Here is a 25,810-nt window from a genome sequence, read left to right as displayed (position 1 = left end):
AGTACTTAATAAATCCTTTACAGTTATACAGTAGCCTCCTTTTATCTGCAGTTTCACTTTCTGCGGGTTAACTGTCAACTGTGGTACTCTCACTACTCTTGCATTTTGGGTCATTATTAAATAAAATAAGGGATACTTGAACATAAGGATTGTGATACTGCAACAGTCAACCTGATAACCAAGAGGGCTTGAAGGCAGTTTGGGTGGAATGGCACAGTATTTCATCATGCTATGCAGCACACATGTAATTTAAAACCTATAAATTATTTCTGAAATCTTCCATTTACATCACAATGCCTATGTCATTTACCTCATGTCATCTCATCACCTATGCATTTTATCATCTCACACTATTACAAAAAGGGTAAGTACAGTACAGTAAGGTATTTTGAGAAACCACATCCACATAACTTTTACAGAATATTGTCATAACTGTCCTATTTTATTATTAATTGTTGCTGTTAATCTTCCTGTGGCTAATTTATAAGTTAAACTTATTTATTTATTTTTTTTTGGAGACAGGGTCTTGCTCTGTCACCCAGGCTGGAGTGCAGTGGGGCATGATCACAGCTCACTGTAGTCTCAACCTCCCTGGCTCAAGTGATCTTCCCACCTCAGTCTCCTGAGTAGCTGGGACTACAGGCATGTGCCACAAACTCAGCTAATTTTGTTTATTTTTTGTAGAGATGAGATATCACTACGTTGCCCAGGATGGTTTCAAGCTCCTGGGCTCAAGGTGCCCTCCCACTTTGGCCTCCGAAAGTGCTGGGATTACAGACATGAGCCAGTGTGCCTGGCCTATAAATTAAACTTTATTATATGTAAGCATAGGAAAAAGCAGTGTATATAAGGTTTGCTACTATTTGCAGGTTCAGGCATCCACTGAGGGTCTTGGAACTTATACTCTGCAGATAAAAAGGGACTGCGGTACTAAAAGTATATACTTGGTAAACCTTCTATAATGTCATACATTTCTATGTCAACTGTCTATTGTCATATATTTCTGTATCAACTATCTTTCCTAGATCTTGTAGTGACTTCTTTCTGTACAATGATACTATTATGATAGGAGACTTTCCCATTTGATGATATTTAATTGCTTTCAATACTATCTTCAATTGAAAAAGGGCACCATATTTCTCTTAGGGCTATCTACACAATTTTATGGTAATGAAACATCAGGAAAGTAGAAAAATAGGAGAATCTGGCCAGGTGCTGTGGCTCACGCCTGTAATCCCAGCACTGTGGGAGGCCAAGATGGCTGGATCACTTGAGGCCAGGAGTTCAAGACCAGCCTGGCCCACATGTTGAAACCCCGTCTCCACTAAAAATACAAAAATTAGTCAAGTGTGGTGGCGCATACTTTTGTAACCCCAGCTACTCAGGAGGCTGAGGCACAAGAATTGCTTGAACCCAGGAGGTGGAGGTTGCACTGAGCTGAGAGCATGCCACTGCACTCCAGCCTGGGCAATAGAGCAAGATTCTGTCTCAAAAAGCAAACAGAAAAAGAAAAATAGGAGAATCTACTCCAGAAACAATGTATAGTGTTGTTAGGTATATATTAGAAAGATGAGATTAGAAGACGTAGACAAGAAAGAAGACTAAGAAAGGTAAGATTAGATGACACAGACAAATAAATGAAAAGATTTTATTTCAATACATTTATATAGATCTGTTGCACTGTAAAAACTATACTTCTACATCTATGAAATCTGCCAAAATTCCCAATGTTCAATCTGAACTGATAAAATACTAGAACGGAATCAACAGATTACAAAGACTACAAACAATGAACAAAGACCTGAATTCATATATTCTCAATGGTATTCTTAATCCTTATATACTATTAGGGTCCAGATAAGCCCAATTTTCACTTTGAGTTTCTTTTATGGACTTAAAGTCATTAGGATATCAACCAATACAAATAGTTATAACTATGTAGGATGAAGTCTAAAATGCTTAACATTGTCTAAAAGGTCTTGCATGATCTAATCCCTAGCTACCTCTTTAGACTCAGCTGGTACCATTTTTCTTTGTGCCCAGATCCAGCTGCAAGAGCCTTCTTTCATTTCCTTGACACACCATTTTCTGCCTCATAACCCCTTCTACCTAGAAAATTCCCTTATTCTTTTCAACATGTAGAGCTATGGTCTGAATGCGTGTGTCTCCTCCCCCAGAATTAATGTTAAAATCCTAACCCCCAAGGATAGGGAATTAGGAGGTGATTAGATCATAAGGGCAGAGTCCTCACGAATGGAATTTATGCCTTTATAAAAGAGGCTCCCAGAGAGACACCTCATCCCTTCCACTATAGCTAGAAGGTTCCATCTATGAACCAGAAAGTATGCTGTGTCCTCCTCACCAGACACAGAACCTGCCAGTACCTAGTCATCTTGGACTTACCAGCCTCCAGAACAGTGACAAATAAATTTGCTGTTTTTAAGCCACTTACAGGTACTTTGTTATAGCAGCCTGAAGGGGCTAAGACACATAGTTAACAACTATAATCTTTCACATATCTGCCTAAATGTCACTGCTTCAGGGAATCCCTCCATAACCCTCTCCCCACTTCCCCAGAAAGTCTGGAAGAAAAACAAAGTGGAAATCTCAGTTTCCTCATTACTAAGCCTCTTTATTAAGCTTAATTTATTATTAATTATTAACATATTAAGGTTAATTATTACCTTTATTAAGTTTAATAACAAAATCACTAATATTTGAGTTTTACTCTTGAGCCATGTGCATACTTCTAAGCACATTCATATATTTTCATTTACCCAATGAAGTAGGTACTATTATCTTAATTTCAGATGGAGTATATATACACACAGAAATTAACTTGCCCAAGGTTACAAAGTGTCAAAGCTGTGATTAAGAAAATGTGATATTGGCATAGAGAGAAGTAAAAAGACCAATGAAAACAGTGGAAAGAAATAAGAGCCAGACTCACATATATATGAAGACATATGTCAAAAGCATCATTACAAACTAATAGGCAAAGATGGACTATTCTATAAAAGGTACTGGCACAACAGATCATGCATAAAGGAAAAAATCAATTACAGCTCTATCTTATTATACATGCAGTCGGTTCTTTTCTAATGCTTGTTTTTGAAAATTTCAAGGTGTTACAACACTTAATTAGGCAAATCAAAACCACAATGAGATATCACCTCACACGTGTTAGGATGGCTATTATTGAAAAAAACAAAAGGTAACTGTTGGTGAGGATGTGGAGAAATTGGAACTCTTGTAGACTATATAATATGGTGCACTGGCTATGGAAAATGGTATGAAGGTTCCTCAAAAAATTAAAAATAGAATGACCATATGATCCAGCAATCCTACTTTTGGGTACATATCCAAAAGGATTAAAATCAGAGTCCTGAAGATATATGTACTATCATGTTTACTGCAGCATTATTCACAATAGCCAAGATGCGGAAACAACCTTAATGTCTTTTGATGGATGAAAGAATAAAGAAAAATGGAGTACTATTTAGCCTGAAAAAAGAAAATCCTGCCATATGCAGCAACATGGATGAACCTGAAGGTCACTATGCTAAATGAAGTAAATGAGTCACAGAAAGACAAATCCTGCATGATTCCACTTATGAGGTATCTAAAACATCATAGTCATAGAAACAGAGTAAAATGGTGACTGCCAGGGGCTGGGGAAAGGAAGAAATAAGGAGGTGATGATATTCAGTGGGTATAAAGTTTCAGTTATGCAAAATGAGTAAGTCTATTGTACAATATTGTGCCTATAGTTAACAATATTATATTGTACAGAAAAAAATTAAGAGGGCAGCGCTCATGTTAAGTATTCTTACTACAATGAAAAAAGTTGATATAGACAGTTCAACTTACGGTGTGACTTAAGATTTTTGGACTTTATAATGGTGTGAAACTGATAAGCATTCAGCAGAAACCATATTTCTAATATCCATACGATGATTCTGTTTTTCATTTTCAGTACAGTAGTCAATGCTTTATTATAAAACAGATTTTCTGTTAGCTGGTTTTGCCCAACTGTAGATTAATTTAAGTGTTCTAAGCATGTTTAAGGTAGGCTAGTCTAACCTATATTGTATGGTACGTTAGGCATATTAAATGGATTTTTTACTTACAATATTTTCAATTTCTAATGAGTTTAGCAGGCTGTAACTCCATCATTAAGTTGAGGACCATCTGTATACAGTCATGCACTGCATAATGACTTTCTTGCCAATGACAAACTACATATATGATGGTGGTCCCATACACCATAATGTACCTAAAAAAGCCCTTTTGCTTAATGATGTAGCCATTGTGATGTTGTAGCATAACTCATTACTCACATGTTTACGGTGATGCTGGTGTAAACAGACCTACTGTGCTGCCAATCTTACAACAGTATAGCACATATAATTATGTACAGCATATAATACTTGACAATAATAAACAACTGTTATGAGTTTATGTATTTACTATACTTTGTTACTATAATCGTTATTTTAGAGTGTGCTCCTTCTACTTATATATAAAAAAAAGTTAGCTGTAGAACAGCCTCAGGCAGGTCCTTCAGGAAGTATTCCAGATGAAGGCACTGATATCACAGGAGATGACAGCTCCATGAATATTACTGCCCATGAAGACCTTCCAATGGGACAAGATATGGAGGCAGAAGACAGTGATACTGATCACCCTGACTGTGCAGGCCTAGGTTAATGTGTGTTTGTCTCTTAGTTTACGGCAAAAAAACTTTTTAATTAGAAAAAATTTAGAAATAGAAAAAAGCTTATAGAATAAGGATATGAAGAAAATATTTTTGTACAGCTGTATAATGTATTGGTGTTTTAAACCAAGTGTTATAACAAACGAGTCAAAAACATTTAAAACATTTTTAAGGTTTATAACGTAAAAATGTTACAGTAAGCTAAAGTTAATTTTATTATTGAAGAAAATATTTTTAAATTAACTTAGTGTAGCCTAAGTGTATGGTGTTTATAAAGATTACAGCAGTGTACATTAATGCACTAGGCCAAGCTTGTCCAACCTGAGGCCCACAGGTGGCCCAGGACACCTTTGAATGCAGCCCAATACAAATTCGTAAACTTTCTTAAAACATTATGAGATTTTTTTGTGATTTTTTTTTTCGCTTATCATCTATTTTTAGCGTTAGTGTATTTTACATGTGGTCCAAGACAATAATTCTTCTTCTGATTTGGCCCAGGGAAGCCAAAAGATGGGACAACCCTGCCCTAGGCCTTCACATTCACTCTCTACTAACTCACTGACTCACCCAGAGCAACGTCCAGCCCTGCAAACTCCATTCATGGTAAGTGTTCTAAATAAGTGTACCATTTAAAAAAATCTTTTATATGCCATTTTTACTGTTCTTTTTCTATATTTAGAAACACAAATACTTAACATTATATTAAAACTGCCTACACTATTCAGTATGGTAACATGCTGTACAGGTTTGCATGCTTCCCTAATACCATCCCCTTCCTTCTCTTGCTGAAGCACTGTCAGTGACATGTTTTAAAGAAGATAATAAAAACAGTAGCACAGCTTTACATGTGTTGAATGGTTAGGAAATATATAAATACCATAATAAACATGACATTTTATCTTAAAAAAGATTGTCTGCTTGTGGAAGTGGAATTCAGAAGAGTTGCAGCTTGTGAGTTATTATCAAGTGGTGCAAGGAGGGTTATCCAAAATCTGCCAGAAAGTTTTAACAGCAAGAGTAAACGTCTTTTGTTTAACACAGAAGTTATGTATAGATACATCTTCACATATATGCACACAGAATGAAGTACAGTCAAATAGACTAAGAATAATATTGAGGCTAGCAAAAGTGATAGTGTTCAGTGACAGTCAACAATGGAAATTTTATGCATAAAAATAAGAAAACTAATTACAAACACATTTAAAAATTGGGACAAAATATACACAGCAAAATGCATAAAAGGCACAGTTTTTATTCATTACTTTTTATTTCTGAAAAAATTCATAACTTTATATGATCTTTTGTATTTATTTTTTATAGTTGTACTTTTTCTAAACAGGTGAATTTGCATTAGATTTTAATTAAAAATTTACGTAAGTCTTGAAGAATTTTCTTCAAGACTTGGAAAAGCACAATTCATTTGCAATCATTTCTAAATTTATCAAAATGTGATTCTGATATACGGTAGTGTATTCATTCCTGAGAAAATACTTCCTTTTGGTAACTAGAGCAACCAGTGAATAAGCCAGAAAAATAATGAGTGTTATCTCATATATGATTTTATATGAGTGATATCTCATATAAAAGGAAAAGCACATAAAGGACAGATTATTACCCTTTATATCTTGGAAGATAATATAAGCAAAACAAACAATTCCAAAACTGACATATTTACTGATTTGAAGCTGATCAAATTTTGGTACCAAATATTATACTAACTACAGACCTGCAACCATCTAAAATTCATCTAAATACTAATGTACAAACCATCTTGAGCAGCCCAGAGTAGTAATTAAATTGTTTTGTGATGAACAGGCTAAATTTCTTATACAAAGGAGTCAATGCTTTATAAATGAAACCAAAGGTGAAGTATTTCTGAATACTAAGACATTTGACTGTGTTCCTGTAAAGAAGTTATGAAGTAAATGTACCAATGTATAATCTAAAAGATCTATGGCTTAATCACTATAATCTTCCTGTTTCAGAGGATTACAAGGAATTTTATGAGGGTGCCTCATACCTGGTCATTACACACGATTCTTACATACATCAATCTGAAATTATTTTTATCATAATGTTAATATTATCTGGGTTCATAGTTACTAAAGAAAATGATATAGAGACTGAAGACCTATGGTTTTCAATCTCTCAAGTCCTTCAAAGATGACCTGTAATCTTCCACCATGTCCATAGCATACCCTTCTATATCCTCAATAATTATTTCAAACCTTTGGCAGTCTTACCTAGTCTCTAACCCATTAGGTTGAACAACCTTGCTACCTACCTTACAAAGCAGTCAGAAGCCTGTCCAACTCTACTGCATCACACCTGAATCTTACCTGATTCCCTTACGTATCAGTAGAGGAAGTAATCTTCCTCAAATCCCAGGCCAATAATTTTTGCTCCTATGCTGTGGATCTAATTTCCTTCTGCTTCCTTGGAGACCTTTTCCTACCAGCATTTCAACAGGGATTAAGTCTTTTCCTCCTCTCCCCTCATATCACCTCTCAACTCTCGTATTTTCTCATCTATTCTCATTTTATGACTTGTCCTTACAGTCAAGCTTCTCAAGTTTCCATTTCCTCAACTTTCACTTACAGGTCTTCCTAGTCTAATGGGCCCTCACAAATCACCAATGACCACCTTAACAAATCCAACGGATTCATAATTTTATATATCTATTAATCCCTCTAAAAATTAGCCTCTGTAATTCTTTTTTTTTTTTGGGTGGGGGGGTGATACTCCTCCCAATTTTTTTTACAACCTTCTCTTTTGCTTAAATGTATTACATAGCCCTGCTCTTTGATTTCTTCTTTCACTGTTTATATTCTCCTATAATTCATATCAATAATTCCAAAATCTGCATCTCAGAGCTAGTCCTCAAGTTCTTGAATCGTATTTCCAATTCCTATTAGTCCATGTCAACTTGGATTTTCCAGACATCTCAACCTTGAGTCAATCCTCTCTCTCTCCATTTACCCATTCTCTACTATTACTTTAACAAGTGACTTCATCAGTAATTTAATTTCCCAAGCCACAAACCAGAATATTAACCTATATTCCCCGCTCCATAACATCCATTAACCAAGCACCTCCAGAATATTTCTAAGAGTCTGCCCCTCGCCTCTTCATCCTCAGAAAAGTACTTTAGTTCTGCAGCTCCCCTTCCACACTATTTTTAGTGGCATAGATTACTATGATAGCTGCTTGATTTGTCCAACTACTTTAAGTTTTGCTTGCTTCCAAGCTGTCCTCCACTCTGCTGCCAAACATTTTAAAACCACAAACGTGATCATCTCACTTCTGTTTAAAATCTTAGTATCTGCATAATATAAATGTTTAATGTTTATATAAGGTTTTCGTACAAAGTGTTTTTATATTAGTTGATGGTAGAGCAACCTTTTTCTTCCCTCCCTTCCCTCCTTCCTTTGAGACAGGGTAGAGCAACCTTTTATTTATCTTCATTTATTTATCTGTTTGTTTGTTTGAGGTGGTCTTACTCTTGCACAGGCTGGAATGCAGTGTTGTGATCATAGCTCACTGTAACCTCAAACACCTGAGCTCAAGTGATTCTCTTGCCTCAGCCTTCCAAGTAGCTGGGACGACAGACAGCACCACCACACCCGGTTAATTTTTAAAAATTTTTTGTAGGGACAGGTCTAATTTGAGGAAACCAGAGAGGTAGTAAATGCACCGTTTTTTTTTTTTGTTGTTGCTGATTTGTACATGTTTATGCTGACAATTTTCAGATAAATGTTCCTGCTTAATTGCCTAATATTAAAATAAATATAACCTTGTTTATTTTTTGAAATCCTATGTTCCCCAGGCTGGTTTTGAACTGCTCGCCTCAAGTGATCCTCCTGCCAGGGCCTCTCAAAGTGTTGGGATTACAGGTGTGAACCACTGTGCCCAGCCTCCTTTTTAACAGAAGGAAAAGCCAAAACTCAGAGAGGTTATATAACTTATCAAGGTCATGTAACACTACTCGGTGGGTACACAAAGTCCCGCACTCTAGTTTTCAGACTCTAAAGTTCAGTGTTCTTTTCATTACACCAAACTTTAAATTCCATTTATTTAACAAAGACCTAGAAATGTAACAGATGCCTAGTAAAATCATATACCACACTCCCTCTTTATGAAACAATAAGTTCACTTTTAAAAGTGAGATAGCAGAGGATATGATAACATTATCACCAAGCTATAAATAGAACTGGAAGGCTTATTTAGAAGATAAATTCCAACAATTTCTAACAATCCACTTTACTTATTGAGAAAATGAGTATTTTCAAAGTGAGTATCTTTAGGGTTAGAGCTTTGACTATCAGAAACTTCGTAGAATAAGAGCCCAAATGTTCACACGCATGCCTATAAGAGATTCATGTTTTCACATCAATAAAGATCACACACACACAAAAACACTACCATTCTCTGAAGAAGTTTCCTAGAAATGTAGCAAACACTAAACTGTGGATGAATTTGTCATACCAATCTCAATTTGTTTTCATGATTATTTTTGTTTATATATATTCTTATCTCCTGAAATCAGACTTGAGTAGATATAAATTCTAAATTTACTATAGAAAAAGCACCACACCAAACTTCTATTTTTGACACTACTTGCTATGAAGTCTTAGAAAAGTTACTCAGCAATAAAACCCTTCGACTGTCCATCTTAGAAATGGGAATTCATTCATTCAAAAAATACTTCATATGAATAAAGTGGTTGGCAAAACAGCCAAGGTCCCTTTGTTCAAGAGTCCAGTGGAGGAGAGAGGAAAAGTAAGCAATCAAGGTACATAATAAAATATTGTTAAGTGCTGTGAAGTAAACGTACAGGGAGCTATGAAAGCATATAATGAGGGCCCTATATAGAATAAATGAAAATCTCTCTGAAAAAATGTTTTAGCCTCTGAATAAGAGTTACTCCAAGAAAAGTGGTAAGAAAAAGTATCTAAACTGAATGAGGATGACATGCTAAGGCCAGAAGGACTTTGGGAATTTTGAGTGTTGAAGGAATGACTAAATAAAGTTGGAGTTTATGACAAGGTGGGGGAGAAATGGTAGATGAGACTAAAGAGTTAGACTGAGACCGAACTAAATAGTGCCTTTAATGCAATGACAAGGATTTCATCTCAAGTAATCTGAAAACCACTGAAAGATTTTTAACTGTAAAGAGATATGATTTGATTTACATTTCATGAAGACCACTGGGACTACCTCACAAGATTACTGGAACGATCAAATACATGTGAAATACTACGTCAAAAACTTACATAAAGTTATATTAACATGAATACCTCAAAATGATCTAAATTGTATGGTGCTAAATATTCTGAAGGCATTATGATAAATAATTTGTATTATGGTGTGGATAGAATAATTTTCAATGGCTCTGGAGAAACTGGGGCTTCAGAGTCAATTTTAAGACACTGTTCAAATGCAGTAAAGCTACTATATGAATGTAAAAGGTTTTGGAGTTGGCAGGGAGAAAGAGAATATCAAAAGTTGTTTGGTGCTTTTACACTAGATGCAAATTTAAGAAAGATATACAAGGACCAACAAATGATTAAGAAATAGTTCCAGATACAACAGAGTATAAAAGGAATATGTGGAAATTCCAACAGCAGGATTTAGGAAACCAGAGAGGTAGTAAAGCAGTTTTTTTGTTGTTATTGATTTGTACATGTTTATGCTGACAATTTTCAGATAAATGTTCCTGCTTAATTGCCTAATATTAAAATAAATATAACCTTGTTTATTTTTTGAAATCCTATCTGCCTCTTTACAGAGTAGGCATAGGCAGTCCTTTTATAAGTAAAAAAATACACAAAAATCTCAGCCTAATCCAATGTAGCACACTTAATCTCAGAAAAATATTTATAATCATCTTGTGCAGAATGGCATAAACAATTCTGGATACTAATTCACTCTTATGACTAATTCTCTTATTTAACAAAATGCTTAAATTATATTTGAGTAGTGATAGCATAAAACAATTTTCAACACTAAGGAGATACTGGCAGCATCTAGTATTTTAAATTATTATAAATCAGATATTTCACTGACTTTTTTTTTAAGTACCACAAACTAAGACTCAGAATTTCATGGTTTCAGTAAAACTGAAACAAATAAAACTATGAAATTCACTCAAATAAACCAATGGAATAGTTTACCATCTCTTTATAGCTTAATTTTTAGATTCCATGCACTTCTAACCTATTTTCTTCTCCACACATTAAATCCATCACCTAGCAATAAATAATTTTTATGATCTCTTTTTAGATCTAAACTAAGACAAATAAGAAACTCAAGGAGGCCAAGTAAGATTGTTTTTAAACTATTCATCCAGAATACACATACATGACCATTAATATCTTAAATGTGTATGTCTCTCCATACTAAAGATATCTTGTAACCATATGTGACATATAAGCGTGATAAGCATATATGAAGCAAGAAGGAAATGATAATTAATAATGCTTGACTCTACATAAATTCTCTCAGCTCTGTGTAACTTTTCTACACCGGGAGAATTAGGTTTGGTATTAACAATATAAAAATAATAAACAGAAAAAACTAAGAAAAATTGGGACTTCCTCAAAATAAAAAGCTCTTACAATCAACTTCGCTTTTTAAAAGTATTTTGTATCATATAAAGGCATACATTAAACTTCGAATAATAACGAGCATCTATATACATACCATCAAAACAAGCACCTAAAGAAAATTATCATAAATATTAATATAGCCCCTTGTGGGCCCCTCTCTTGGAATACCCTTACTCTGATTTAGCATTTATCATTCCATGAATATTTTTATACTTTTCTTGCATAACTGCATTTCCACAAAGACTCATAAATAATTATTCATAAATAATTTTGAATGTTTTAAAGCATTATTTAAAGGGTATGATGTGACGATTTTTTCATTTGAAGGATTAATGTGAGTTTAGCCTCCTTTTAGGATGCCAGGTCATTTTCATCTGCTGAGGGTGTTGTCTTACATTTTCCAGGTACTGTAAATGTGTTTTTGATAATTAGCACACTTATCTATGTTCTTAAGACAGCGCATTGTTTGTGCTTTTGGGGCATGAGATTAGGAGTGGAAGAGAGATCCATGGGTTAAATGACACAAAACATTCACTGCAAATACTACTATACCACATACCTCTAAGAAATAAAGAGATGGGGTAGATTTCGAATGAGAGAAGGTAAGAAGACAGGCTGCAAAAAGATGAGTGTGTCATTTATACGGAGTAATGAAATACACATATTTAAGAATATTTACAAAACAACATTTCAACATAGTGTAAACTAATAAGAGAAGAGGGCCAAAACAAACTTGAAAAGTTGTTGGAGGACACAGTTCCAGATTTTAAAACTGTCTACACAGTTATAATCTGGTACTGGTATATGTCAATCAAATATAGAATCTAGAAATAAACCCTCACTTTTACAGTCAATTGATTTTCAAGCAGGGTACCAAGATAATTGCACAGGGAAAAGAATGATCTTTTTGACAAATAGTTTTGGGACAACTGGATAACCACATGCAAAAGAATGAAATTGAACTCCTCCCCTGACCATATACACAAAAAATTAACTCGATTGAATTACAGACTTAAATGTAAGAGCCAGAACTACAAAACTTGGAAAAGAAAATATATGAGTAAATCCTCATGACCTTGAGTTAAGCCAAGCCTTCTTAGACATGATACCAAAAGCAAAAGTGACAAAGGAAAAAACAGGCAAATTGAATTTCAATAAAATAAAAACTTCCATGTTTCAGTGGACACTACCAAGAAAGTAAAAAGAAAATCCACAGAATGGGAGAAAAATTTGTAAATTAACTATTTAATAAGGAACCTGTATCTAGAGAACTTTTACAATGCAATAATAAAAAGACAAAATAACCAAATTTTTTAAATGGGCAAAGAATCTGGACAGACATCCAAAAGACATACAAATGGCCAATAAGCAGGTGAAAAGATACTCAACATCATTACCTATCAAGAAAATGCAAATCAAAACTACAATGAGATACTACTTCATATCCACTAAGATGGCTATATATTAAAAAAAAGAACATAAGTGCTGACGAGGTGAAAAAACTGGAACCCTCATACACTGCTGGTGGCAATGTAAAATTACGGCCACTTAGAAAAACAGTCTAGCAGTTCCTTAAAAAGTTAAACAGGGACCTAGCAATTCCACTTACAGGTATATACACGAGAAATGAAAACTTGTAATGGATGTTCATAGCAGGATTATTCAAAATAGGCAAAAATTGGAAATTCAAATGTCTATCAATTGATAAATGGATATATCAAATGTGTTATATCTATACAATGGAATATGGTCACATACCACATAACAACATTTAGGTCAATAACAGACACATTATGTCTGGCTAGACACAGTGGCTCATGCCTATAATCCCAACACTTTGGAAGACTAAGGTGGGAGGAGTGCTTGAGGCCAGGAGTTCAAGACCAGCCTGGGCAACACAGCAAGATCCTCATTTCTACAAAAAAATAAAAATAAAAAATAGACACAGTGGTGCTTGCCTGTAGTCCTAGCTAATTGGGAGGATGAGGCAGTGGAATTGCTTGAGCCCAGGAGATCAAGGGCAATGTGAGCCAATATTGGGCTACTGCATTTCAGTCTGGGTGACAGAGCCAGACCCTGTCTCTAAAAACAAAAAAGATCATAATATTGTATTTTTACTCTACCTTTTCTATGTTTAGATATATATATATACACACACACACATATATATATTTATACACACACACATATATATATACTTACCATTGTATTAGAATTGACTACAGTATGCACTACAGTAACATGTTGTACAGGTTTTTTTTGCCTAGGAGCAATAGGCAATACATCCTAGGTATGTAGTAGGCAATCCCATCTAGATTTGTGTAAGTACCCCCTTAAGATGTTCACACAACGACAAAATTGCCTAACCATACATTTCTCAGAAGTTATCCTTGTCATTAAGTGACTCATGACTGTATCATTCAGCAGTAAAAATAAACATTGATATATGCTATAACATGCATGAACCTAGAAAACATGTATGCTAAGTAAAAGAAGCAAGATGCAAAAATCGCACATACTATACGATTCCATTTATATAAAATATCCAGAATAGGCAAATATATAAAGACAGAAAATAGATTAGTAGCTGCCTAGAACAGAGGAGTTTGGGAGAGAAATGGGAGGTGACTATTAATGGGTATGAGGTTCCTTTTTGGATTCCAAAATTGATTATGGTCATGGCTGCACAACTCTTTCGAGTATACTAAAACCCAGTGAACTGTCCACTTTAAGTGGGCAAATTGTAAGGTATGTGAATAGCATCACAATAAAGCTGTTTTATATATACATATATATTTTAAAAGCAAAGAATGGAGGGGCCACAAATTTGGATGAGATTAGAGGTGGTTTTAGAGACTGACTTTGAACTAGGTTTTGAAATGAAAGTCAGTAATTTTTAAGAAGTATCTGAAACAACAGAAATGGGGCATAAAGGCCCCAAAAGCAGGAAAAAGCAAATAATTTGCAGGAAATGGGAGACACTATCTGTATCAAAACAGAGATATGTTAATTAGAAATGAGACTGCTGAGACTACAAGGCTAAAACAAGAAGACTCACAAAATTCTAGAGGCTCTTGATATTAATAACAAATGAAAATGTGTTTAACAAGTATTACAAAGCTGTCATTTCTTGATTTTAATACTTTCAAGTATTTGTCTTTCAAAAAGTTGCTTCCATAATCTGGGTATGGCTCTATCACACATAGGCAGGCAGTACACTTAGAATTTAAAATGCAAGCTTTAAGTTAGACCTCCTGCTCTACCACTGACTAAGTGTTATGACCATATACATTTAACTATCCCAGTTTCTGTACTGGTAAAATGAGAATACTACCATGTATTTCATATATGTAATATATTTGGAATAAATATATTACATTATATATGGAACCTGTATCTAGAGAACTTTTAAAATGCTCTTAACATAGTAAATGAGTAATAAGTTATTGTAAACCATAGCCACAACTATGTGGTACATATAAATACTTAGCTACATCTCTCCTGAGAATTAAAAAGTTCTTCAGCTTGAAATCCATTCAAATGTATGAATATAAATTTCCCATCTTTTTATCAAAGGCAAATCTCTTGACTAACCTGTTAAACTTTGTTAAGCTGTAAAAACATATGGGTAAATAACAGAAATCAATCCAGATTACCAGGTGTTTTCTACCTGGAACAAGGAACTTGATGCTCTTTTCAGTTAAGTAACTTTGTCTCTAAATGTTCTCAGGTCTTGATTTAACTGGCTCTAAACTTAGAATACCCTGGCCTCAGAGCCACCCTTGAACTTCTTTGTGAGATCTTTGACTTCCTTCACAAAGAAGTCCTTGCTACTGGTACTTCTGCTAAATGATTTTCTCTTATGGTGGGGAATTACCACGCTAATATCTGGGTCTTCTCAAAACTAAAGGGAGAATGGAAGGGACAGTTAGCATTCTTAGTTCTCCATTCCTTGGAGGAAAAAAAGGCATCATTACTCTTTTCTTTTTGGAGAGCTATAAGGAAACCATGTAGAATCTTAGTGATGGAAGTAGTAAAGGCAGTCTAGACATAATCAAATGCAGGTTAATCCTACAGGGGTTTTCTGTTTTATATTATAATTGGAACTTATTTCCTTCTTTGTAAGGAGCCATTTTTGACCCTTCCCTCAAATAATTTTAATCTGTATCCAAAACTGAGGCTACTTACTAGGCTTATGCTAGATTTCTTGAATAGTGACTTTTGTGTAAACTGGGTGATAAAATCTAAAGGATCTACATTCCCCTGTTTAAAGGATAAATGGGAGAACGAGTCTGGCGAAGTGGCTTCAGAGGAATGAATATGAGACACAGAATGTGAATTACAGTGGTAAGTGAGGAAATTAAAAGAAACAAGCTAGACTGACATTACTCAGGGAAGAAAAAAAGTATTTAGTAATTGTTGAAAAATTCTATACAAGGACTAAGAAAAAAGAGAAATTCCCATGGTTTAATGAAATATTGTTTGAATTACATTCGAGTAGTGACAGCATAAAACCATTTTTAATACTAAGGATCTATTCTTAGTATTAGATAGTATCTAGTACTTTAAATCTTTATAAACCAGGTATTTAAACCAGCTCTGAAATCATCAAAGATAAAATGAAGTGTAATAAGAGCATGTACTTTAAAGGCTATGTAAGTGTAAAGCATTTAAAATAGTGGCTGCGACAGACTAAGCATTTAATAAATGTCCGCTGGTAGTAAACTATGAGCAAGCAAATTAATTTCTCTCAGATTCCTCATCTATAAGTCATATAAATATATATATTTTGGTCCTTCTTTTGAGGATCAAATCTCGTAATGCACATAATCAACCTTTATCAGTTGTTCTCTATCTTCCCCTTATTTCCCTACCAATATGCCCAATGGTTTCAATTTACTTTTGTCAATAATCATGACTTATTAATGAAGTGATTTTCAGTGAAAAAAAGAAGAATCACTCTAAACTCACATCATAAGATAAATTCAAGACTAAGATAGCAAAATTGACTGTTTTATTATCATTGTATCTTCCACTATCTTAATTTAAATGTTCTTTCACTTCAAAAATTCTTTAAGAGTTATCTCTAGGGAAAAAATCAGTTGGTGAACATAATAATGCATTCATATTTGCATTTTCTGTGCTGAGTGGTTCATATGGATTTAAGTCCAAGAAGAAAGCCGTATGTATTTGTGGCTTATAGTAAACCAATACCATACTTTTAAAATATGGACCAAGTACCGAAACAAAATAGCCTACAAGATCTTACTATATGCTTCATGGGTTATTTCTGTAAAACTATATGTGAAGGGGCCATATCATCTCTAATAAGAGCTTATGATTATTGATAGACAATTAAAATTCAAAAGCTCAATAGTAAATGACCTCAAATTTTTTTGTCTGAATGTACTTGTGGATCAAAATGACATTTGCTCTGTACATTCAATTATTCACCTATCAATCTTTAAGCATGTTTTAATATCCAGAAGCAAGGTGTTAAGATTTCCTACATGTTCTATCATATCTAAACTGAACAGTCACAAGAGGCAAATGGTAGAATTCTGCTACTAAATATAAAATAGACTTCCTTTAAAAAGAAAAATAGGTTCTTTTCTTTTTAAAGTGAATCTACTTTTTAAAAAATGAATCTTTAAAATAAGAGACAGAGGCTGGGCATAGGGGTTCACACCTGTAATCCCAGCTATTAATACTTGCGAGGCTGAAGTCAGAGGATCATTTGAGGTCAGGAGTTTCAAACCAGTCTAGGCAACACAGTAAGATCCCGTCTCCACAAAAACTTTAAAAATTAGCTGGGTGTGGTGGCGCACACCTGTAGTTCCAGCTATTTCAGAGGCTGAGGCAGGAAAATTGCTTGAGCCAAGGAGTTTGAAGCTACAGTGAGCTATGACTATGCCACTACACTCCAGCCTGGGTGATGAAGCGAGACTCTGTCTCTAGAAAAAATTTTTTTAAATAAAATCAGAGGCAATGTGGTACAGTGCTTTAAGGGCACAAACCAAAGACCTAAACTACTTGGGTTCAAATCCCAGCTATACCACTATGTGAAAACCTTTTTGAGCCTATGATTCCTATTTTGTCAAATGTGAATAACACCGATTCCCAGAATTGTGGTAATATGGTGATGAGTAAATAAGTCAATATGCATTTATAACAGTACCTGGCACATAGTGTTTTTAAATGTAATATTACAGGTCATGGCCTGACAAACTGATTTTATCTTGTTACACTTACGTAGAAGCAAAATTGTTAACTGTCACAAAACCATTTTGCAAAAAGGTCATTTAATGCCTTATATGTGCTAACAGGAAAATGGTATAATTTAGGAAAAAAAGCCTTAATTTCACAAAACAGATAAACGAAATCATTGACTAGCTCTGGACCTTCCTGGACTATTAGGGTACATTAACCCTGGACTCACTAACAGAAGTCATTTAAAAACTTACGAAAAAGGCTTAAATTAAGAAAAGTTGCTTTCCTAGATTTTTAAGCATCTAAGATGTGAAACATGCCTTAAGGTCACTATCTCTGTCCTTGTTTTCACCAATTTACCAAGACTGAAGAAGTTTTTCCTTTTAGTTTCATTTCCTATAAATGATGTAGTATATACCCTACTCTGGTCGTAAACACCCTGGCACTACTGAAACTAATTTTAAAAGTAATAGTAATATAAAAATTTCTTTAAGTATACACTAAATATTTTGAAATTCATGTTGAGTAATAGTGTTCCTTTTCATTATTAAGGGATTTGTGAGTATAAGGTTATTTTCTTTTAGTTTCAAAGTTGCACGAACATAAGGGATCAAATAAAATTAAGCCTCAAAGATTTCTAAGTAAAAGTCGGAATGGACAGAAAGCTCTAAAAACTGAAATCAATGTCTCTTGTCTAAAACTTCACTGATCAGATTCTTTGGCAATTATTGAAATGAAAATGTCACAGAGATTTTAAATGACTTCACACACAAATTACTTACTCTGTAAAGTTACCTACTACAGTTATTAGGGTTTATACAAAAATGGCATGCAATGTTTTGCTAAACTGCAAAAGTTAACTACACATTACCACTTAACATAATCACACATAAAAATTACTGAAAATGATTGGCAGATGAATAACATTTAATAAAAATGGTGGAAACGAAGCAGTGCTTTGGATGATTTGTGGTTATGTTTTACTTACTCATAATAGGCCCATTTCTTTAAAAATTTCCAGGCCAGAAATTTTGCAGGTGGTTCACACCTGTAATCCCGGCCCTCTGGGAGGCCAAGGTAGGCAGATCACTTGAGGCCAGGAGTTCGAGACCAACCCGGGTAACATGGGGAAACCCTGTCTCTACTAAAAATAAAAAATTAGCTGGGCGTGGTGGCATGTGCCTGCAGGCCCAGCTACTGCGGAGGCTGAGGTGGGAGGATCACTTGAACCCTGGAGGTGGTTGCGGTGAGCCGAGACCACGCACTGTACTCTAGCCTGGGCGACACAGCGAGACTCTGTTTCAAAAACTTTTTTTCCAAAGAGAGTATTTTATAACCCATAATTTTCTTTGTAACTCATTAACTACCATTCCTTAAATATGTTCCTAAAATACTCATATGTACCTTAAGCAAATTATCTTTTTGTCTCATCAGAAGAAACCACCATGTATCTGAAAATTGTTTTTAATTCATCCTAAGCGATACAATTCTAGTTCATTTATCTCTTTCCTATAGTTCCTAAACTCTAAATTTTGTTCGTGTTTTTCTGATCTCTTGTTGAAATTGAAACACAGATCAACAAATATCATTTTGAGACTGCTTTATTCCTTATACAAATCAGTGCTACCTTCTTCTTGCTTTTTAAAAAGGTATTACTCTCGTATTAATTTTGATTTACTTCTCAATATAAAGTCTAGAACTAAATACATCATAAAGTATGTTTCTCTTCATCTCACACTTGTGTAACTTATTTTCATCTCTAGAAAATCAGTTTTTAGATAAAAATCATTCACTGCTTACAAATAAAGAGAAACTGTAGTACTTACACAGAATGAAATAAATCTTTATACTTGCCTAGGTATGGAAGTTAGTTACCCGAGTTACCATGAGACAGTCATTATCTGCAAAGTGCTCAAAAGCTAGTAAATGAAATTTATTCACTGTGATGCATATGACTATAACTTCAGACATGTGTATTAAACTTTCAAGAATAAACTTATGGTAAACCCACCATTTTTTCTCAACAGCCCAATCAGTCTTTCCTAGACAGTTACATACATATGCCACGACAATATTCCACAGGGCAAATTTCAAATAACCTGATTCAAAGATTAAAAAAAGATATTAAAAGGAAAAACAACTTTCTAGTGAGTTCCAAAAACATAAACTAAATTATTACATATCACCACCAGTTCTGTACCTGTAAGTTCATCATCAAATTTATACTTATCAAATTATTCTCTTTAAAATTCTGAATCAAATTTTTGCTCTCTACTACTTTGTTTTTGGACAGGTTTCACTTGCTAATTTGCAAATAAACTGGCTCACAAATAAACCAAACTGGTTTCTGCAACTCCCAGTACCATCTTTCTCTTGCAGTTTTTTTCCTTTAAGAGAAAATTAACGTGAGGATAAACTTGCACAATCTGCTTTTATCTAAATATGTGGCCCTCAGTTTACTTTTATTTAAAATAAAAGCACTGAAATGACTTAAATTTATGAGCCTCTTGTATTTAGTCATGGTTCATACTTGTAATACTAGCATTTTGGGAGGCTGAGGTGGATCACTTGAAGCCAGGAGTTCAAGATCAGCATGGGCAATATAGTGAGACACTGTACCTATACAGCTATACACGCACACACACACGCACATATATAAAACAATTTACATTAATTTTGTAAAAAAGCAAAAATATACTTATTTGAAAATACCAAACTTCATAAAGTTAAACGCCCACAATGCACATATTGCTCCTATCATCCTGTAGTGTCAATGCTACCAATTACTCTATATACAAAAACGTGACATTAATGAGAGACAATAACACTTATATTTTAACTTATAGACTTACAGATTTCTATTTTAAGGAAATTCACTTTTTAAAATAAGGTGGTACTAGGTTGGGTGAATTAAGAATTTTTAAATGTTCTTTAACTTACAATAGCCAGCGGGGACTTATTTGTCATTACCACAAGCCAAGGTAAACATGGGTGTCCTAGGAAATGTCCAATTTCCCCACAGTAATAAACATCTAACATTATAATAAAAACAATAACTTTTTTTTTTCTTTTTTTGAGATGGAGTCTCACGTTGCCCAGGCTAGAGTGCAGTGGCCGGATCTCGGCTCACTGCAACCTCCGCTTCCTAGGCTCAGGCAATCCTCCCACCTCAGCCTCCTGAGTAGCTGGGACCACAGGCGTGCCACCATGCCCAGCTAATTTTTTTGTATTTTTGTAGAGACGGGGTTTCACCATGGTGCCCAGGCTGGTCTGGAACTCCTGAGTTCAAGTGATCCTCCCTCCTCGGCCTCCCAAAGTGCTGGGTTACAGGCGTGAACCACCCTGCCAGGCCAACAATAACTATTATTAAGTCACTTGAAGATTCTATTTTTTTGATATAATGAAACAAGTATGTATTTACATCCTTAGGGATTTCTATCATACAAACATAGTATATAGCCTACCAAAAAAGAAAAAAGAGACTAAGACTTAGATCAAGGTTAAATTAAGGTCCTAAGTCTGCCACCTATTAGCTTAACTGAAAATGATCCCAATATCACAGCCTTTTGTCAGGAGTAAAGAGCAGAGATAAGAGGATAACTAAAATTTGATATCTCATAAATATGAAATTCTTAAGATATTAAAACGAATCAAGATAAAATCCTTATAATAAAATTACTGTCCATTTTACAGCATGAAGATAATGAGGTGCAATGATTTAAATTAACTCTCCTCAAAGCCATACTGCAAGTTGAGTGGTGAAACTGTGACATAACTCAGGTCTAAATCTTACTGTTCCTTTCACTATGCCATACTGAAACACTCTATGAATTATATACTACTGTTATGGTAACAGTGGAAAGTGAAAATATGTTTTATTATAATGAAGAGGCACATTATGCTTCCCAAAAAATAAGGAATTTTAAATTATGTTACATATTCACATATTTAAGTTATTGTAGATGCCACTTGATATGGTCGACAAGTGTGAAAATGTCCACATACATCCTTCAGTATTTTAAATGTATAACCTTTGGTATTTTACAAGTTTGAATATTAGCAGTTAGTTAAGCCTCAAGTGGACTTATCTACTTTTTGCAGGCCTACATTATCTTTCAAACAGAAGGGAAGGGCTGCACGTCTAACAGAAACGCTGCCGGCTTCTATCAAGCCACCACTAAAGCACAAGACCACGTGGTCTCTCATAAGCCCAAGGTTCCCTACTCCTCTCCCTCCTTTGACAAGGAACTGGAAACTAGGGTTTCTTTCTCTTATGTGGAGCCCTGACATGCCACCTGTGTAGTACAGACCGCAAACATCCTGCAGCCTGCCTCCCGGAAGACCAAGAATCAGAATAAAAGGGAACTTGGACGCCGACAATTCTAGGAAAGGAAATGAACAGAGAAGTAAAGCCGGTGAGATCGTGATAAGCCGCGGCACCGGGACCTGTCAAAACGGCGTATATAAGACTCAAACCAAACCACTATAACCTATCATTCGGGAAGGCCTGAGGTGGGAGCGGCACTACGGAAGGAAGGAGGACGAAGAGAACCGCACGAGTCAGAACCGCCGCCGCCGCCGCTCCCCGGATACCTTTCAGCATGCCCTGGCAAGCCAAGAACCCTGACCCTCATCTAGAGTCCAACCTTTGCCCCAACATTTCAGAAGCGGCCAAAATCCCGCTGCCCCGGCGGCCGCCGCCGGACCTGCCCGCACCTGTCACTAGCGAAAGAACCAGCTCGCGGCTCCCGCCCACTTCTCCACTATCCTCGGGCAACCGCGGGCATCTCAACCCCTTTCTCTTACCAGGTGTCCCCTTTCCGGAGCGAGGTTTTGAGCAGCGTCGCGATGTCAGACCGCTGGGTGTCCAGATCCGCCGCTCCGCCTTCCGCCATCTTCTTCCACTAGCGGTAGGGGAGGTGGCAGCGACGGCGGCGGCACGCCCCAGAGCATTATGGGAATGGCGTCCCACGGCCCCTCCCAGTCGGCCGGTCGAAACCAAAAGACACCGGGAGCGGGGGTGCTCCTCGGGACAAGAGGAGGCCCCGGGGGCGCACTGGGTGCGCGGCCATGGTCTGCTGCCCCCCATCGGTCCCCGCCCGTCCAGCATCTTGCCTTGGCCTCCTCTGGCCCGGGACTGCCGGGTTTTAGCTTTCCTCGCCGCCGAGGGCTCTGGCTCTCTCTCGCTAGAGGGATGCCACCGCCCTGTCCTCCCGTCCTCAGCGTTGCCTTCCCCTCCCTCTTTCCCACTGACGCCTTGAAAACCCTTATTTGCGCATTCACTCACGCTTGAGGGTGAGGTAGGGTGGGGCGGTGGTGTGGGGGCGTGGGGACGGCTAAGATATGGCAGAAAATGTAGCAGCTCAGTGACTGGGCTTTTCGTTACGAGTGGGAGAACCCAAGCTCGGTGAATATGGGCACACACAAAAAACACTCCGAAACCGAACGCTTGGTCTCCATGCCCTTCCTGGGTTCCTTCCAGCGCTCTTACTCCCGTTGTAGGTGGGGACCCTTTATAGGCTCTTTGTGACGCCTCCCCAGGCACACCCAGACGACTAAGCTGCAGTGAAAAACATGTCCCAGTTCATCGGTGAACAGGGAGTAGAATATGGACAGTATTGAATAATGCCAGATACTAAAGGAAGAAAACGTGCGAGAAACCCTCTTGTTTATACAGGATAGTAACATTTTCTTAGCCCCATCTTCGTATGGTGCCGTACACCTGAAATGAAACTAGATATGTCTTTAATTTGAAGTCAACGATTATGTTACAAAATAGAAAATCGAGTCGCTTAAAAATCAAATGCCAAGGTCACACAGCAGGTGGAGAGGTGAGTGGAGAGGCTGGTTCAAGAGCCCACATGCTATACAGTATAGCACACTCACTGCCTCTCCTTCTGAAAGCCTGAACTAAAATGTAAACTCTTTAAGAGCTGGAACTGGGTTCATCTTTTGTTTTAGCCTTTGTACACCTGGTGGTTAGCACAGTACTGATGGACATGTAAAAATTACCTAAATATTTGTTTAGTAAATGAATTGTGGCAAAATTACTTAAGTATTCCCGAGCATGATGTCCAGGGGTGTGATTTTAACATACCATATTGATGTGAAAAGTCTAAAAGATGGGCCGGAATCCCCACATCATTTCTCGTTTGCCCATTTTAAACCCTAACTCATTTGGTGAGAATGCGATAAAGGTAGGTGTAGTTATGCTAGTAGGAAGTGCTGAATCCAAGTGAAAGTAGTGTATATTGGCATTATGATTTGTGTATATCAGTATTATGATTATGATTGCTTATTTCTGCGTAATAATACTATTTTGCATTATCATGCCAACCTTGAATTGAGAGTTTTAAAACAACTTTCAGTGACTGCTATTTCTGGCTTTTCTCCTGACAGGTTAAAAGATTAAGAGTTTCTCTAACCACGGCTACCCTCTAAAAGTCACATTTTCCCCCTTTTTCCAGTCACTCTCTGAAAGAGAACAAAGTAATTTTCTGAAGGGAAGCTGCAGAATATGGAAAACATATATTGGAGCTACATGGATGTAAGTTCAAACCTCACTTCAACCTTTAGCTGCAAAGTTCTTGCCCTTTAATTGAATCATAAAATTGAGTATAATAATACCTACCTTAAGGGATTTTTATGAAGATTAAATGAAACAATTTGTGTTTATTGCCTGGGACGTAATAGCCATTCAATAAACACTAGTATTGTTTATTGATGACAGGGTGAATTGTACAGTATGTGAATTATACCTCAATAAAGCTATTGAAAAAAGGTGTTAGGGGCTTTGAAGGCAAAACTGTGCTCTCCTTCATTGTATAAACATAACATAACCAAGTAGCAATAAATCATTTATACCCTAATGTCCACTTTCCCTTAAGAGAAAATGCATTTTTGAAGTGTTGACAGCTACAACCATACAATGAAGTAAAATAATATTTTCTTCACTTGCACCATGCTCAAGGCAGCAGGTTAACTGGATATAGACGTGTAAATTCAATGCCAATTTGAATTATACATCAGATTTATGGAGCCGTTTTGTAGACCTAAGTAACTGCCATCAGAGTCAGGAAAGAGATAAAATTATAGTATTTTATTTAGCAAGCACTTACAGAGTGCCTAGCATGGTTCTAAACACTTTAAAATACTAACTTAATTCTCACAGCAATCACATGATTTTGGTACTATTATTATTTCAAGTCTATAGATAAGGAATTGAGGCAAGTAAGTGGCAGAACCTAAATTGAAACCAGGCAGTCTGGCTGCAGAATCTGGAAAGTTTGGGTAAACTTCAATTTTTCTATTGACCTTTATTATTTTGTTTACAGCAATCAACGTTTTAGTGATCTCAGTTGATCAGTTTATGGAAATTCTGCTTATTTTACTGGTGCTTCTCTCAATTATGAAGAGAAATAAGATATTGTTCATAAATTGGTTAAAGTCCACATCCCTACTGAATAATTAAGTAGATAAATTGATGAGAAAAGCTACTTCACCTTAATCACCAATAATTGAATATAAATCAGGGATTATATCTGCTTATTTAGAATGAATGTCTTCACTGATGCATTCCTTAGTTAACTTTTGATGAATGTACCAGTTTGCTTGGTGATTGTTATTGCCTTCTCAGACTCTCTGTACCTTTTTTGTCAATTTAAAACGTAACCTAGAGAGCTGAGTATGCTGAGTACTTAGGCTAGATATGAACAAGCTGGACCTCTTAAAGTCACAGTTGGTTGTGAAATTAGAGATTCTCTAGGAAGGATTCCTTTACCCTCTAGTAATTCCAAACCTCTCTGCTTACTGATATTTAAACAATTCCTTTAAGAGAGGTTCTTTTACTCAACAATTAAGAGATGGGACTTCAAATGTAAATACTCCAGGAGAGAGTTAGGTTTAAAACTAAAGTGTCAAAGAGAGCCAGTTTTCAGCCTGGGGTGAACCAGAGAAAAAAAGCACTGCATTTTGTAATACAGTTTAATGGAAGAAAGTACAAAGGAGAATTTCAAGATAAGTTTTGCCTATTTCATAATTTTTTGTGGGACTGGCTACATGAGCCTAAGGGAAAAATCTGCCTAAAATTTGAGTGGACTTAGCAAATCACACACACACACACACACACACACACACACACACACACATATATATGTATATATATATACACATGTACATACACACACACAGAATCAGCACATCCCATAAAAGAACAGTGTTTGATGACTGGCTGTCTTTATTTCTCAACTCTTCCTGTCTTTGATATTCAGGAACC

General features: G+C 35.9%; 2 protein-coding genes and 1 non-coding gene across 18 annotated transcripts in view, besides 10 other annotated features; 1 reads left to right on the top strand and 2 right to left on the bottom strand.

Annotated features, from left to right (window-relative positions):
• Positions 1 to 22,441, bottom strand: part of USP15 (ubiquitin specific peptidase 15) — a 155,986-nt gene extending 133,545 nt beyond the window's left edge. For all 16 annotated transcript variants that reach the window (NR_147078.2, NR_147079.2, NR_147082.2 and 13 more), the window contains exon 1: positions 22,342 to 22,441. Coding sequence is in view for 5 of the 16 variants with exons in the window: in NM_001252078.2 (NP_001239007.1) it covers positions 22,342 to 22,430 (89 nt within the window). In the remaining 11 variants the exon portion in view is untranslated. The remainder of the gene's footprint in view (positions 1 to 22,341) is intronic.
• Positions 15,049 to 15,098: a silencer, noted in NCBI's record as "silent region_4606". NCBI's record gives its function as "represses an Ori minimal core promoter by ATAC-STARR-seq in GM12878 lymphoblastoid cells {active_cell/tissue: GM12878}" and the evidence as "EXISTENCE:reporter gene assay evidence [ECO:0000049][PMID:35858748]".
• Positions 17,806 to 17,985: an enhancer, noted in NCBI's record as "active region_6580". NCBI's record gives its function as "activates an Ori minimal core promoter by ATAC-STARR-seq in GM12878 lymphoblastoid cells {active_cell/tissue: GM12878}" and the evidence as "EXISTENCE:reporter gene assay evidence [ECO:0000049][PMID:35858748]".
• Positions 18,617 to 18,666: an enhancer, noted in NCBI's record as "active region_6579". NCBI's record gives its function as "activates an Ori minimal core promoter by ATAC-STARR-seq in GM12878 lymphoblastoid cells {active_cell/tissue: GM12878}" and the evidence as "EXISTENCE:reporter gene assay evidence [ECO:0000049][PMID:35858748]".
• Positions 20,211 to 20,711: an enhancer, noted in NCBI's record as "H3K4me1 hESC enhancer chr12:62655915-62656415 (GRCh37/hg19 assembly coordinates)". NCBI's record gives its function as "activates a minimal SCP1, AML or CMV promoter by ChIP-STARR-seq in primed H9 embryonic stem cells {active_cell/tissue: H9 hESC(primed)}" and the evidence as "EXISTENCE:reporter gene assay evidence [ECO:0000049][PMID:30033119]".
• Positions 20,712 to 21,212: an enhancer, noted in NCBI's record as "H3K4me1 hESC enhancer chr12:62655414-62655914 (GRCh37/hg19 assembly coordinates)". NCBI's record gives its function as "activates a minimal SCP1, AML or CMV promoter by ChIP-STARR-seq in primed H9 embryonic stem cells {active_cell/tissue: H9 hESC(primed)}" and the evidence as "EXISTENCE:reporter gene assay evidence [ECO:0000049][PMID:30033119]".
• Positions 21,936 to 21,985: an enhancer, noted in NCBI's record as "active region_6578". NCBI's record gives its function as "activates an Ori minimal core promoter by ATAC-STARR-seq in GM12878 lymphoblastoid cells {active_cell/tissue: GM12878}" and the evidence as "EXISTENCE:reporter gene assay evidence [ECO:0000049][PMID:35858748]".
• Positions 22,206 to 22,565: an enhancer, noted in NCBI's record as "active region_6577". NCBI's record gives its function as "activates an Ori minimal core promoter by ATAC-STARR-seq in GM12878 lymphoblastoid cells {active_cell/tissue: GM12878}" and the evidence as "EXISTENCE:reporter gene assay evidence [ECO:0000049][PMID:35858748]".
• MIR6125 (microRNA 6125) lies at positions 22,391 to 22,486 on the bottom strand. Its single transcript, NR_106740.1, has one exon. It is a non-coding gene; the product is annotated as a microRNA 6125 (primary transcript).
• Positions 22,606 to 22,715: a silencer, noted in NCBI's record as "silent region_4605". NCBI's record gives its function as "represses an Ori minimal core promoter by ATAC-STARR-seq in GM12878 lymphoblastoid cells {active_cell/tissue: GM12878}" and the evidence as "EXISTENCE:reporter gene assay evidence [ECO:0000049][PMID:35858748]".
• Positions 22,796 to 22,855: a silencer, noted in NCBI's record as "silent region_4604". NCBI's record gives its function as "represses an Ori minimal core promoter by ATAC-STARR-seq in GM12878 lymphoblastoid cells {active_cell/tissue: GM12878}" and the evidence as "EXISTENCE:reporter gene assay evidence [ECO:0000049][PMID:35858748]".
• The window catches only part of TAFA2 (TAFA chemokine like family member 2), a 551,762-nt gene continuing 548,762 nt past the window's right edge, over positions 22,811 to 25,810 (top strand). The window contains exons 1-2 of the mRNA XM_024448962.2: positions 22,811 to 23,366; positions 24,003 to 24,082. Coding sequence (XP_024304730.1) covers positions 23,301 to 23,366; positions 24,003 to 24,082 — 146 coding nt within the window. The 5' untranslated portion in view covers positions 22,811 to 23,300. The remainder of the gene's footprint in view (positions 23,367 to 24,002; positions 24,083 to 25,810) is intronic.
• Positions 23,116 to 23,185: an enhancer, noted in NCBI's record as "active region_6576". NCBI's record gives its function as "activates an Ori minimal core promoter by ATAC-STARR-seq in GM12878 lymphoblastoid cells {active_cell/tissue: GM12878}" and the evidence as "EXISTENCE:reporter gene assay evidence [ECO:0000049][PMID:35858748]".

Source organism: Homo sapiens, chromosome 12 (genome assembly GCF_000001405.40).
Source record: "Homo sapiens chromosome 12, GRCh38.p14 Primary Assembly".
NCBI lineage: Eukaryota > Metazoa > Chordata > Mammalia > Primates > Hominidae > Homo > Homo sapiens.
The sequence above is the reverse complement of the archived record's forward strand: the minus strand, read 5'-3'. Positions and strand labels throughout refer to the sequence as shown.